General features: G+C 43.9%; 1 long non-coding RNA gene across 1 annotated transcript; it reads left to right on the forward strand.

Annotated features, from left to right (window-relative positions):
• Positions 1-1,600: 1,600 nt before the first annotated feature.
• On the forward strand, positions 1,601-8,069 carry LOC105376472 (uncharacterized). Its single transcript, XR_930785.3, has 3 exons — positions 1,601-1,760; positions 3,462-3,520; positions 7,336-8,069. It is a non-coding gene; the product is annotated as an uncharacterized LOC105376472 (long non-coding RNA).
• The last annotated feature ends 6,366 nt before the right edge of the window (positions 8,070-14,435 follow it).

A 14,435-nucleotide genomic window follows, 5' to 3' on the forward strand; every position in this document is an offset into this window, starting at 1 on the left:
TAATCTCTCTCTTTTGAGCATGTTACCTGTTACCAATCCAGTGGATGGAAAATCATTTTATTTTTATTTGTATTATTTTTTTGAGACAGGGTCTCACTCTGTCGCCCAGGCTGGAGTGCAGTGACCCCATCACAGCTCACTGCAGCCTCAACCTCCCAAGGCTCAGTTGATCCTCCTGCCTCAGCCCCCACCCCCCTGCCCTGTAGCTGGGACTACAGGCACTTTCAGGGGACATGACTTTCTCTGAAGAGTTTTTGCAGCTCTGGGGCATACGTTCTCTTGCTCTGTTTTTATCCAGAGTGAACATATTCTTCTTAGTCTTAATATAACCGGGAAGAAAAAGGAGGTTGAGCTACAAGAACGAATAACAGTTCCCAAATGACGATGTTTTTCACAACTTGATAAACCAACCAGAGCAATATGCATGTCTCACTGGAAACATCAAAATGAAAAGCCTCCACCTCAAATCTTTGTATTTTCCCCCTAAGTCTGAAACATACCGTCTGTGGAAAGAGACTAGAAGTGGGGTGAACATAAATAAATTTCAGAATCTTCTCAGATTTAAGCAGAGAATACAGAGAATAACCACCACCACCACCACATAAATCACAATATTCAACAATTATTACAAAAATGTAGCTCTAGAATTGACTCATGTATCTCAGCTCTTCATGTGCAAAACTGACTTTGCTTATGGACCCTAGATTTTAGTAACACTCGCCCTTCTTAGAGTTTTCAAATAATTTTATCAAGATAAAAATTTACTGGCATGTGGGATATATACATACTCTACCACATATTTACGTAGATTTGTGTGCAAAGACATGCATACCCGGAAAGAAAGCTAACTATGCTAGCCTCTAAAATGTAGCTGCGTTTGGGGAGAAACACAATAGACATTTAACTGAGCACATCAAAACTGCTTAATGGTTTTCTGACGTGCCTCCAGGCAGTGGAGAAAAGCATGACCAATTGGAAGCGCAGGGAGAATTCTGAAGCAGCGAAAAAAGAAATGAATCCTTCTCTTTCTCATTTTCTTTTTGAACTCTATAATATAATTTTTCAACATTGTTCTTTTGAAGTCTGACATGAAGATGAAAATTCCTTGAGGATTGTGAGACACTAGAATGCATTACAAAGGAGGGCACGGAATGGCCTTTAATGCAGATCCTTAAGAGGGTAGAGGGCAGCATTCTTAGTTTCCTTTCCACCCTCTAATTCCAACATGCTATGAAAATGATTTTAACTCTGCCTGACTAGCACAAACAAAACTAAACAATAACATTGACTTCCTGATTATTTATACCCACTTGCCCCATGACTTTGTAATGAGGGGTCTTAGTGGCAAGGACAGTCTTCATCATGCTTTGTCCCTCTACTCTGCTTGACATACAGGTATGGGCAAGGATTCTAAATTTCTCTGCTCCTCTAGCCTTTTGATGTGTTTGTTCACAAATACCCGGGCCTTGGGGCAGGGGTAGAGACACCTTCCTTCTGCTGCACTAGGGGGAGTCGCCTTAGGAGGTCAGCTGACCACGTGGAGAGGAGGCTCTGAGAGGTCAGCTGACTGTCTGGGGAGCAGGCTCTGGGAGGTCAGTTGACCACGTGGAGAGGAGGCTCTCGGAGATCGGCTGACGGCGTAGGGAGAAGGCTCTCTGGTCGGCTGACCGCCTGGAGAGGAGGCTGTGGGAGGTTGGCTGATCCCCTGGGGAGGAGGCTCTGGCAGGTCGGCCGACCATGTTGGGAGGAGGCTCTTGGAGGTCAGCTGACTGCATGGGGAGGAGGCTGTGGGAGGTCGGCTGACCATGTGGGGAGGAGGCTGTGGGGGTTCGGCTGACGGCTTGGGGAGGAGACTCTGGGAGGTCAGCTAACCACAGGCACCTGCTCTGCGTCTCAGCGCATGTACTGCTGCCTATTGCGGCCGTGGAGCTGTTCCCAGTTCTCTCCGGTACTACGCCACGTCTTCCCAAGTTTTCTGGAGGTGAAATTCATTTCCACAGTAGAGTGGAACCAAGCTCTAAATCAAGATCCCACATGTCCCCACCTCTGAGTAGAACAACACACCCTCAGGCCCGTCGCTCTCATCCAAGGCCTTGGCTTCGTGCTTGTGGGGGAAACCGAGGCCTCTGGCTGTGAGCTGCCTTGGCTCCTGGCCCTTTGCTTACAAACCCACCCACATCCACACCTTTCCTACTTCCATATCAGAGAATGAAGCTGAACAACCCCCTGGCCCTGCACCCAGCCTTCCTCCTGGACTGGCTCAACCCTCCTCTCTCCAAATTTTCCATTGCTCCTTTTCTCCCCGTCTTTCCAACCTCCTCTGGTTTCCCCTCGGCTTATAAAATTCTTCAAATAGTTCCCATTTGATTCTCTAAAAAAATAAAAATAAAAATAAGTTCCCTGACTTTACTACCCTTTCTTGATGACAACCCCCTTCTCATCCAAATGTCAAGAAATTCTGAACTGCCGGTCGCTCTTTCAGCTTTTCTCCCTCATTACTCAACCACTCTTCCCGTCTGAACCCCACTCAGCCACTCTTCCCCCCGAACCCCCTCTGCCTCCTATCTCCACAGGCTACGCCTTTTCCTAAGGACATTAGCGCACTTCATCATAATCCTTGTGTTACTGAATAGCTGCCTCATTTGACATGGTGGCCACTTCCTGCTCCTGGAGACTCTTAGATCCTTCTGGAGCCCTGCACCTTTCTGAGCTCCGTTTCTTCTCCTCTTCCTCTGTGGGCTCCTCTTTCTCCACTATCCCATTAAATGCTGGTCTTCTCTGGGGTCAGGTTCTTGTCCCTTCTTTATGGTATACTTCCCTTGGCTGAGCTCACCTAATCTCATCGATGGGGGAGTCATTCACATATAAAGGGTGAGTAATTCCATTTCCATCTCAGCCCCTAAGTTTCTGACTGATGTATACAACCACTATGTGATATTTTCATTTCAGCAAGTCCCTCAATTCCCTGTGATTGGTGTTCCTTCTATATTTTCTGTCTCAAGGGTCTGGGTTATGATACCCAGTTGCATTACCTGGTTGCAGGTACACTCCACCCGTCATTGCACTTGCAAGTGCTTGGATACACCTCCTTAATAGATCTTAAGTCCCCTTCCCCTGCTGTCAACAAATACCCTAGCTTAGGTGCATATCAGCTTCCAAGAAGATGAGTGCAACGGGCTTCTCACACATCTTCTTGGACCCAATTTTGTCCTTGTCAAGTCCATCCATTACACATCACCAGAGCGATCAGTCACTGAACTCTGACCTCCTACATCAGCAGGATGTAGTTCAAGCTCTGCAGCTAGTTTTGTAGGGACATACAGCATCATTTTTCCAATCAGGAAAAGCTGAAACAAACAATTATTGGGATTCTAGCACCCTTATGGCAAAAGCCAGATATGTTGGTGCACGTCTTCTTGTAATTACATGACGATTATCTGCATATGTGCTTATCTCCCCAGTTACACGTTGTCTTCAGAAAAAGAGATTCCCCAGAGCCCCACACAGTGCCTGGCAAATGGTGAGAATTTAATAAATGTTTCTTAAAGTGGGCATGGAGGGGTTTCTCTGAGCTTGCTACAGATCTCTGAAATTTGCTCCTGGAAATCAGACGGGGAGGTAGCAATGGCTGGTGAGGTGAAGGGATCGAGGGGCATCAGTGAGGGCAGGAAGTAACAAGAGGGAGTGGGTATCTAGCACCACATGACCTGACTTGAAGACTAGGGGAGCCTCTGATGAGTGTGATAGTCTCACCTATACCAAAGAAAGGCAGACATAGAGATGCAAAGGGAAAGAATTAACTATTGAAAACATCTAAATGGCCACAGACCTGTACTGATAAGGACAGAAGGTACATTAGAATTTCTCTCTCATTTCTGTCATTGGAAGAACAGACTATCATCTTCATGCAGTTGCCCTAAACACCTGATATATCAGGTATTTAGCATGGGTGTTGGTATTCAGGGACCATGATTAAACCCAAGACGTATCTGCGTTCAAGGAACAGCAAGCTGCCCTATAATGGGGTCCTTCTGTGCAATCTGAAGAACCTTTCATCAGTGGGGAAACACCTCCCCATTCTCTTCATGGCACTTCTAGAAGAGCAAAAAGTATTGCCACTATCTTTGGGTGTGCTTAGGCTCTGAAAGGTCCCACGAAGTCCAGCAGCTTTGCCCCTAAAAGGAAGTCTCAAGTCCTTTATCACATAAATGGCATTTTTTTCTTATCTAAATGTGAAGAGCCATTCTGGGATATTGCCCTTTCATATTCTTCTTGAGTCTGTGTGCACATGGTTTGGGAAAATTAAAATGGTAGCAAAATCTCAGATACCATTTTTATTCCTATTATCGAAAACATCCTGTGCTTATAGGCAAATAATAAAAATAGACCTAACCACTTTTAAGAAAAGAAACTTTTTTATTACTATTTTCCTTTTCTATTCATTGAATCCTTCTATTTCTGGAATCCTAATTTTTCTGATCATTTTTTAAATTCTCAAAGACCAGGTACAGTAGCTCTCACCTGTAATCCCAGTGCTTTGGGAGGCTGAGACAAAAGGATTGCTTGAGCCCAGGAATTCAAACCCCATCTCTACGAAAAATAAAAAAAATTAACTGGCACAGTGGTGCATGCGTGTAGTCCTAGTTACTCAGGAGGCTAAGGTGGGAGGATTGCTTGAGCCCAGGATTTCAAGACCAGTCTGGGCAACATAGCGAGACCCCGTCTCTAAAAAATAATACTAAAATTAAGCAGACACGGTGGCTGCACACCTGTAAGTCCCAGCTACTCAGGAGGCTCAGGTGGGAGGATCACTTAAGCCCAGGAGGTCAAGGCTGCAGAGAGCTGTGATTGCACCACTGCATGCCAGCGTGGGCAACAGAGCAAGGCCCTGACTCTAAAAATAAATTAAAAATTAAAAATAATGAAAAAGATAAAATTCTCAAAGGAATTCTCTGGTATGGTCCATAAGGCCAAATGTTTGTGGTGCATCAGAAAATCACATTCTGTAAAGCTGGCTGGATTATTACAATATTAAACAGAACTTCCAAGATAGGACATGTAAAATAATTAAACATATATGTTAGTGTCATGATATGGTCCTGCCTTTAGAGAACCAAATTTCAAAACAAAGCAAAGAGAGTTATCACTTGGATAAAATCTCTCCCATCCTTTTCTGTTTTTCTTTTAATACACTAATAGGGTTTTCCTGTTTTTTTTTTCCATCATGTTAAGAAGGTTTGCATTTTTTGCTCATGTTATGATAATTTTTAAAAAAATCTCGATTCCACCAAGTCACGAGAGATTTTCAGTTGGAGGTGGGGTTCAAGGAAGGCTCCGATGAAGAATTAGGGGGCTGGAGAAGGAGCTTCCTTTCTCTGTTGGTGGATATCACCTGCTTCTTTTACCCTATTATAATGTAATTAGAAAAAATATCCTATGATTGTGATTTTCATGAATTGTTGGTGAGAATAGAAATTTCTAGAACCATTCCAGAGGGTAATTTGGCAATGTATACAAAGTTTAAATGTGCTGCCCTTTGACCCGAGAGAAATTATTGGAATGTATGTAGAAGAATATTCAACACAGCATTATTTATTAAAACAAAAAATTTAGAAGCATCCTAAAAATGGTATCTGTCAAAAAAGAGAACAAAGAAATTCCAGGCAGTCATTAAAAGTAATGATATTGTTATGTAAAGGCCCCCATGGTACAGGAGAAAAAAATTATTACAAAACAGGATGAACAGCAAAGCTTCAATTTTGTTAAATTGTGTGTGTATGCATTTTAAAAGTCCATAAGGATATTCAAAATATTAACAGTTGTTATCACCAGGAAGTAGAATGTTAGATATTAGAATGTTAGATTTTTAAAAAAATATCTTTTCATACTGTCTGAATATTTTATCAAGAGCATATATGATTTCTCACTTGGGGAAACAAAGCACCAACCTTTCATAGCAGAACTTTGCAAGGTCCCATGACAGAGCACCTCCCTGAGACCCCAGAGAGAGAGCAGGAAGCAGGAGAATCTTGTCCTCATCCTGCTTGCTCAGAAATTCCAGCAACTGAGATCCCAACACTGCTGCCTTCCAACACTGAGCAGTTCAATATCAAGAACATGTTCTGAGGGCGGGCACAGTGGCTCACGCCTGTAATCCCGGCACTTTGGGAGGCCAAGGCAGGTGGATCACCTGAGATCAGGAGCTCAAGTACAGCCTGGCCAACATGGTGAAACCCCATCTGTACTAAAAATACAAAAAAATTAGCTGGGCGTGGTGGTATGCACCTGTAGTCCCAGCTTCTTGGGAGGCTGAGGCAGGAGAATCACTTTAACCCAGGAGGCAGAGGTTGCAGTAAGCCCAGATTGCACCACTGCACTCCAGCCTGGGTGATAAGAGCAAGACTCCATCTCAAAAAAAAAAAAAGAAGAAGAAGAAAAAAAAGAAAATATTCTGAAAGAGAAGAAGTGTAAATGTCTCTGGCTTCATCTTGAAGAGGTTATGAGGAATCCAAGTTCCAGAAATGGTGGTGCCTACCTTGGAGGTCATACGGCACCCCTGTGATAACAAGGTCATAGAGCAGCCCAGAACACTACCTGAAAAGCTGAGCTCCACTCAAGTTTAGAGAGCCCATAAAAAACACTGGTGGGCTGGGCACGGTGGCTCACGCCTGTAATCCCAGCACTTTGGGAGGCTGAGGCAGGTGGATCACGAGATCAGGAGTTCAAGACCAGCCTGGCCAATATGATGAAACCCCATCTCTACTAAAAATACAAAAATTACCCAGGCATGGTAGCAATCACCTGTAATCCCAGCTACTTGGGAGGCTGAGGCAGGAGAATGGCTTGAACTCGGGAGGTGGAGGTTGCAGTGAGCTGAGATCGTGCCATTGTGCTCCAGCCTGGGTGACCGAGCAAAACTGTCTCAGGGGAAAAAAAAAAAAAACCACCACTGCTGAACAGGTTGACCAGTTCCCTGTTCATTCAGGTCTCACTCGTCAGGGTGGAGGTTGGTTCCCAAAGATACTTAACACAAACCCTCTTCATCATGCATAGAAACACAGGGTTTACTGGCATAAATATTCTGGGCATGCCAGACAGTACTTTCAAAGCAAAACAAAACTTAATTTAAAATAATAAACCTTCCATTGATGTTGATAATGAAGGAGATATATTACTAAGTCTTGCCTAATTTCAGAATCTTGAAAATAACTCTTAGCATGTGGGCCTAGTTATTTTATAATAAATAAATGATTCCAGCTATTTATCTTTAGATTCCATAACAAGCCTTTATTTATTTATTTATTTATTTTTTTGATTTGTTTGTTTTCACAACAGTAGCATGACACAATTCCTTCAAGACTTCCCAGCCTGCAGGAGGGAGTCGCTGGCTAAACCTGGATACAGGCCGGGATGCTACAACTTGCTGGTTGCTCAACTCTAGATGGTCAACTGTCCGTTCCCAGAGCTTTGGTTTCCTCATGCTGGCAGATCATCACTGATGTCCATTCCTTCCAGGTGTTTAGTTCGTAGGCCAGTCCTGAGTTGTTGAGTGAGAAAGTAGGAAGAGTACGCAGTGATAACATGAGGAGCAGAACAGAAGACTCTTTTGTGTGACCTGGAACCAAAGGTCATCATGCTGGGGCAGAGTGTGGATAGGAGGCAGAAGGGACTACATTTCATGAGCACTTGTTATATATAAGAAGTGTTATTGGCTGGGCGCGGTGGCTCACGCCTATAATCCCAACACTTTGGGAGGCCGAGGCATGAGGATCACCTGAGGTCGAGAGTTCGAGACCTCGAGACCAGTCTGGCCAACATGGTGAAACCCTGTCTCTATTAAAAATACAAAAATGAGCTGCGCGTGGTGGTGTATGCCTGTAATCCCAGCTACTTGGGAGACTGAGCAGGAGAATCGCTTGAACCCAGGAGGCAGAGGTTGTGGTGAGCTGAGAACATACCATTGCACTCCAACCTGGGCGACAGAGCAAAACTCTGTCAAAAAGAAAAAAAAAAAAAAAAAAGAAGTGTTATTGATGTATAATAAAAGCTAATGTCTGCTGTGCCCCTTTCGTATGCCTGGAGCTATGCGTGTACTTTCCATATGCAATCTCATTGAGCCCAGCAACAATCCAATGGGATGAGGACAGTTGTGCCCATTCAACAGGAGAGAAAACTGAAGCCTTAGAGGTCACACAGCTCTAGGTGAAGAAGTCAGAACCGCAACCCAAGTCCAACCTGAGAACCTGAGCTCTTGACCACTAACTAAACTCTAACACCTCTCATTCACTGAGTAGGGATCTGAATCCAGGAGACGTAAGTAATTTGTCCAAAGTCACGTGGCTAATAAGCAGCAGAGTGAGGATTTGAAAGCAGATTTGTCTGGCACCAAAAACTCATGATCCTTCCCTTACATGCGATGTTTCCTCAGATTCTGACAGTGGAGGCATATTCTCAGCTGACTTACCAATGTTGCCAATTTGTCTCCACCCTGGAGTCTCAGTTGTTGGGTCCAGCCTTAAACCCAAAATGCAGTTGAGAAAATTGAAAAAAGAACCTTGGGTTTATGTGACCAGTAAGCCACACTAACCAAGACCATTTTAGACTAAGTTTTTGAGATCTTAGGATACATGTTGTAACTTCTGTGGTATTTCCTTTTCAATTTTGTTTTGCTTTTTGAATGCACCTTTATGTTGCTGACTTCATCAGTATCAAAGCCAACAAGGAGGAAAACTAATTATGGGGCCTAGAGTCAGCAAAAGGTCCAAGCCTGAATACAAACCCAAAAACAGGGTGGTTTTAATTTTTTTATTTTTATTTTTTAGCTTGTCTGCTTTTGCTAAGGAGACCTTCCTTCTCTCCACCTGCCACCCCATGGAAGCTAGTTTTCAGGCACCCAGGACCCACCTGGGAGTATCACTGATACCACATTTTTTATTGTTGATGTTTTGTTTTGTTTTTGAGACAGAGTTTCGCTCTCATCGCCCAGGCTGGAGTGCAGTGGCATGATCTCGGCTCACTGCAACCTCTGCCTCCCGGGTTCAAGGGATTCTCCTGCCTTAGCCTCCCGAATAGCTGGGATTACAGGCGCCCACCACCACGCCTGGCTAATTTTTCTTATTTTTAGTAGAGAGGGGGTTTTGCCATGTTGGGCAGGCTGGTCTCGAACTTCTGACCTCAGGTGATCTGCCCACCTCGGCCTCCCAAAGCGCTGGGATTACAGGCGTAAGCCACTGTGCCCAGCCAATACCACATTTACACCGATACCGCAAAGGGCAATGGCAACAGGTCTTCACCTGTAGAGTTTGTCAGCCTCATCTCCAAATCCTCCCCAGTTTTCTCTGGTGGTGCCTCTCGTGTGCCTATGTGTGAGTTTCTCAGCTGGTTTCCGGTGTTTTTAGTTGTATTTTTCCTCTTCTTGCTTGGCTCCTAGCGGTTGACGTTCACTGTTCTCTTCCACTTGCGGAAGCAGCACCATTGCCCCTGGGAAGACCTGCACTCTCCCGAGCACAGAGAGGTCTGCTCCGAGGCTGATTCCTTCCAGTACTTCCTGGGTCCTTGTCCCAGGAGGAGTTATTGGGGAGAGAGTAGTAACTCTCTGAAAGAGAAGAGGTGTAAATGTCTCTGGCGTTTGTAATTGTAAATGTGTCTGTAGTAGTAACTCTCTCTCCACCAAGTCCTCCTGGGACCAGGACCCAGGAAGTACTGCTACACTTTGTCACCAGGGCCCTGTGGTGTTTGCACCTTGGATCTACAAAGGGTCTCAAGGAAACAGTTTTCCAGTCGAGTTCTTTTTGAAATATCCCAGCATTGTCTTGGCTGGGGAGAGGGTTCTTCCTATGCACAGGAAAATGTCAGAGTCACATATGATCTGGTCAGAGGTCGGGGCAGTCATGTAAAAAAAAGCTGCGGCCCCGAGGATCGTCCCTTTAGGGTCTCATCTGTCAGAGCTGTAATCTACCCAGAGTAGCATAAAAGCCAACCCTGCTAAGGTTTAGCTGTTTAACTCCAGGTAGTCTGGCTCCGACTCCTTGACCTTCACAATTTTTTACAAAGGTTTCTAGTGATCTCTGGCGCCTGCCCAACCACCCACAAGGAACATACTGCTGAGTTTCTGCAGATTTTTTTTACCTTTTACACAGATACTGCCTGGTGGGCTTGGAAAGAGAATTCCTTAGTCTCCTCTCAGTCCCGCAGGCATTTGGCTCATGAGATAAGGAAACTAAGACATACCAGCAACCAGCGCCAGCATTACTGGCTGAGAAATCTCGTTGACTTCAGGTCCTACCTGCATCACTTTTCCATGTCCAAAATATCAAGAAACACATTCAGGAAACTTAAAAAATAAAAGCACCTTCTTGAGATAAGAAATATTTTAGAAGAAGCCTAAAAATAAAATATAGTCATGATCTACATCTGCCCAGGTGTCAGATTGACGTGTCTGAATTTTATTGGAGAAGCCCTGCTGCTTGATCGCAGGCAAGAAGTTTTAATCTTTGAAGTTCCATTTCTTAATCTATAACTGCTCTGGCCAATATGGTAGGCACTTACCACTTGAACAGTACTGTAGGGGGAAAATACACTCTGGACTTCAAAGATATAGTACCAAAAAAAGAATGTAACATATATTATGAATATATTATCAAGCATTTATCATTGATAATTTTAATAACAATTACATGAAGAGATTATTATATTTTGGACATACTGGGTTAAAGAAAATATATTATTAAAATTTTTTAAAAGAATGCAATCATGATCTGAATTTAGCCAGACTGCCCTTGCATGCTGAATGTAAAACAATTCTGGATTTGAGAAGAGATTAAGTAGGACCCAGTGAAATGCTATGTTTCTGTGCTAACTATGGATAGGTGAGTCCAGAGAGAGAAACCGGGATGAGGTCAGAGGGATTCTGAGTCCTGCGGGCATATTTAATCCTCTGAATTCTTTAGGAATTCACTACCAAGTTCATTACTTGTTTGTTACCCTCTAGGCAGAAGGAATTAAAACTTTAAAAAAGGAAAAAAAAATCTGCAGTGAGAAACAGATCAAAGAGAGCTGAACTTGGTCAGTGGCATGCAGGATAAATATTATTCCATGGCTCAAACAAATCTTCTGGCTGCCTGGGTGAGACATGTTGATAAGGCACTTTTAAGTCTCTTCTTTCCACTCCCCGTCTCTCTGGCCCTGGTGACCTCTTCTTTTTATTTCTCTGAGGGGCCCCTTGTGATATTTTAATAACCAGAAGGCAAAGACAATTATCTGAGTAGTGTAGGAAGACTTCAGATCTTCAGGCAGAACCAAGAGGAGTTGCATGTGTGCCCTGCCATGCTAACCCCTGGGGAGGGTGGGATGTTTCGTGTGTTATTACCCATGGGAAGCCATTTCTATTCTGTATCAATCTGCATTACCATGAGCTATGTAATCTTCTGCCCCTACCACCTCCAAGGAGATGGTTTTAATGAATGCACTTTTGAAAGTGCCTTGTGAAAAATGCAATATTAAGAACAACCGTCAGCAGCCTGGTGACAGCTATTGCTGATGGGATCCTAGGCTCTCTGAGCCAAGTGGCCCAGGAAGTTAGCAGATTCTCCAGCCTGTGAAAATAACAAAATGTCACCCTTCTTAAACACTTGTGATGTGCCAGATGCGCTTTGCAGACATTGTCTCATTAGATCCTCACAGAGAGCCTGTTGAGTATTCCCTATTGTTCTTCAATTTTCACTGAAAAAATTAGCCAGGCGTGGTGGCGTATGCCTGTGGTCCCAGTTACTCAGGAAGCTGAGGTGGAAGGATCGCCAGAGCTCACGAGTTTGAGGCTGCAATGAGCTGTGATCGTGCCACCGCACTCCAGCTTGGGTGATAGAGTGAGAACCTGTCTCAAAACAGACAAAAATTTTCACTGATGAGAACTTACGCAAGGTCACAGAACTACAAAGTGGCAGAGTCGGAATTAAAAACCAAGTGTGTGCAAACTCAAAGCCCAGGCTCTGAACCACTAAGCCATGAAGGTCCCTTGTGCTGTGTTTCCACACTTCCTGTGAAACTGTCAAGCTCTTAAGAATTTTTCTGACCTTCCTGACAAAGGAAGTTTTCCAACCTGCCCCTGTTACTTTTAGAGTTCCTGTTGCCATCGCACATCTCTACCAGTGTGAGTTTATTTGGAGGTGGTTGTCCAGACATTCCAGGGCGGCCGTTACAGTTGTTTCCATGCAACTCTAGGAGGAGCCTCTAGGAGGAGCCATCCGCCATGATGTTGTGCAGTGCACAACATGCCCAGTGGTACCCTGGACCCGCAGGAAAGAAGGTCAGATGATCCCTAATTGTCACCAGCTCTTATACTCCCATCTCATTCCTGATGAATATAGAACAAAGTACTATGTGTCAAAAGTGTTCCATGGCATTGATTTAAATATTATCCTGGGTTTCTTCTCAACTTACTTAAGCGAATTTACTTAACCATTCTTCTAAGTGATCTCCTCTGTGTTTGCTTCTCTAACATTTTTTTTAGGTAAAGTAGTCAGAACCAGAAATATCACATATGGGTAGCTTCTGGCACTGGCTGCAAGGGAGTCTGTGAAGTTTATGAAGTTCATCTACAAGGCCATGGGACTTGTATTTTAACATAAAAATCCGTAAACTTACTTACATAATTGCAGTTTCTTCAGAGTTATATATGCGAATCCCTTGATAGTTACTTTCAGAGACTGTCTCATCCTTTTAATTAAAAGATTTGGAAAGAATGATTTTTTAAAAGCCTTTTTATGAAAAATTTTGAGGTCATATTTAATCTGGGGAAAAGGTGATCAAAGAAAACATTAAGAGTTTTACCTATTTAAAAAAAAAACAGTGAGATAATAAAAGAATTACACTTCTTTTGTGTGTTAGCTTATAAACAACCTCATGAAAAGCCCAAGAGATGTCTTAAAATATTTTTTGAGGGATAGTGTCATGTTGAAATAAATGACAACTGTAAAGAAAGATAGTCACTCGTTCTATAAAAGTAAGATTTAAAAGAAATTGTTTTTTTTTTTTATTCACATCTGTCATGCGAGGATAATGCTCAGTTCTTGGTGTTTTACTCCTGATTGCTTGTTGAAGAATACAAGGTAAAAATAAATTAAAATAACTACCCCAAAATGCTAAATTGAACTCTGCGGCTTGGCGTAAAATTTAGGGCTTATGTTTAAAAATTTATTTTTAAGAAAGTAATTCAGAGGAGGGAGAAACCACTGAAAACAGTAGTTCCTCTGCCAAGTTTAGCTGCTGACCATCTAACTGCCTGGCAACCAAATGTTCCATGAACTCCAAGCGCCAAGTAGCAGCCTTGGGCTGCCTCTGAGCATGCGCACAAACAAACACACTTGCACGGAGTGTTGCTCATTATGGATGGAGGACAGGCTGTTTACAAATCTGCCATAGATTAGGCCTCTGAACCCCAGGCGTAGTAGACAGAGGGATCCCACCGCTGTGCAGCTTGGACAAAAGGCGCTGTCCTCCACCCCAGGCAGAGTCCTTGCAGGAGCTGGAAGACTCCCGCTTGCAGCAGGGCACGGGCTGCCCATTGGAGCCAGAGCAGATCAGGGTGTTCTCAGTGTCCTGTCCTGAATGTACCGATCAGATAAGCCACAGGGCTTTCACAGGGATTGTTAATAAGGTGGGAAGGCCAGGAGGGGTGTCAGAGCAGTGACATTCCCTCCATCGGGATAGAAATAGAGAGGATGGGGCTGGGTGTGTGGCTCACGCCTCTAATCGCAGAACTTTGGGAGGCTGGGGTGGGAGAATCGCTTGGGGCCAGGAGTTTGAGATCAGCCTGAGCAACACAGTGAGACCCTATCTGTATGCACATACACATACACACACAAATACACAAGCCATAGTGAGCTATATGAGCACTCCACTGCACTCCAGCCTGGGTGACAGAGTGAGACCCTGCCTCAAGAAGAAGGGAAAGAAAAGAAAAGAAGGAAAGAAGGAAGGAAGGAAAAGGAAGGAAACGAAGAAAGAGGGAAGGAAGGAAAAAGAAAAGAAAGGGGGGCAGAAGGAAGGAAGGAAGGGAAAGAGAGAGAGAAAGAAAGAAAAGAAGAGGAAGGAAGGAAGGAGAAGTGGAGGGGAGGGGAGGAAGGAAAAGGGAAGGGAAAGGAGGGGGAGGGAAGGGAAGAAAGAGTGGGGTTACTTTTCCCTGAAAGTTCCCCTATTACCTAGAACAGAACATATGGAGACTTGAACTCTGAACTCTGCCCCACTTGTTGATTTTCATGTCAGCCCCTGAACATGCCAGGGCATGGAGTGGGTATCAATAAATGTCAGTTTTCACAGTATTATCCTCAGGTCCCTGTTTCTTCCTTGCAAAATAAGCTTCCTGGACAATATTTTCTTCAAGATCCCTCCCAATTATGGAAAAACAACTTGCTGTTCCACTAAAGTCTATTATACAA

The sequence above is a fragment of the Homo sapiens genome, chromosome 10 (genome assembly GCF_000001405.40).
Source record: "Homo sapiens chromosome 10, GRCh38.p14 Primary Assembly".
In the NCBI taxonomy this organism is placed as follows: domain Eukaryota; kingdom Metazoa; phylum Chordata; class Mammalia; order Primates; family Hominidae; genus Homo; species Homo sapiens.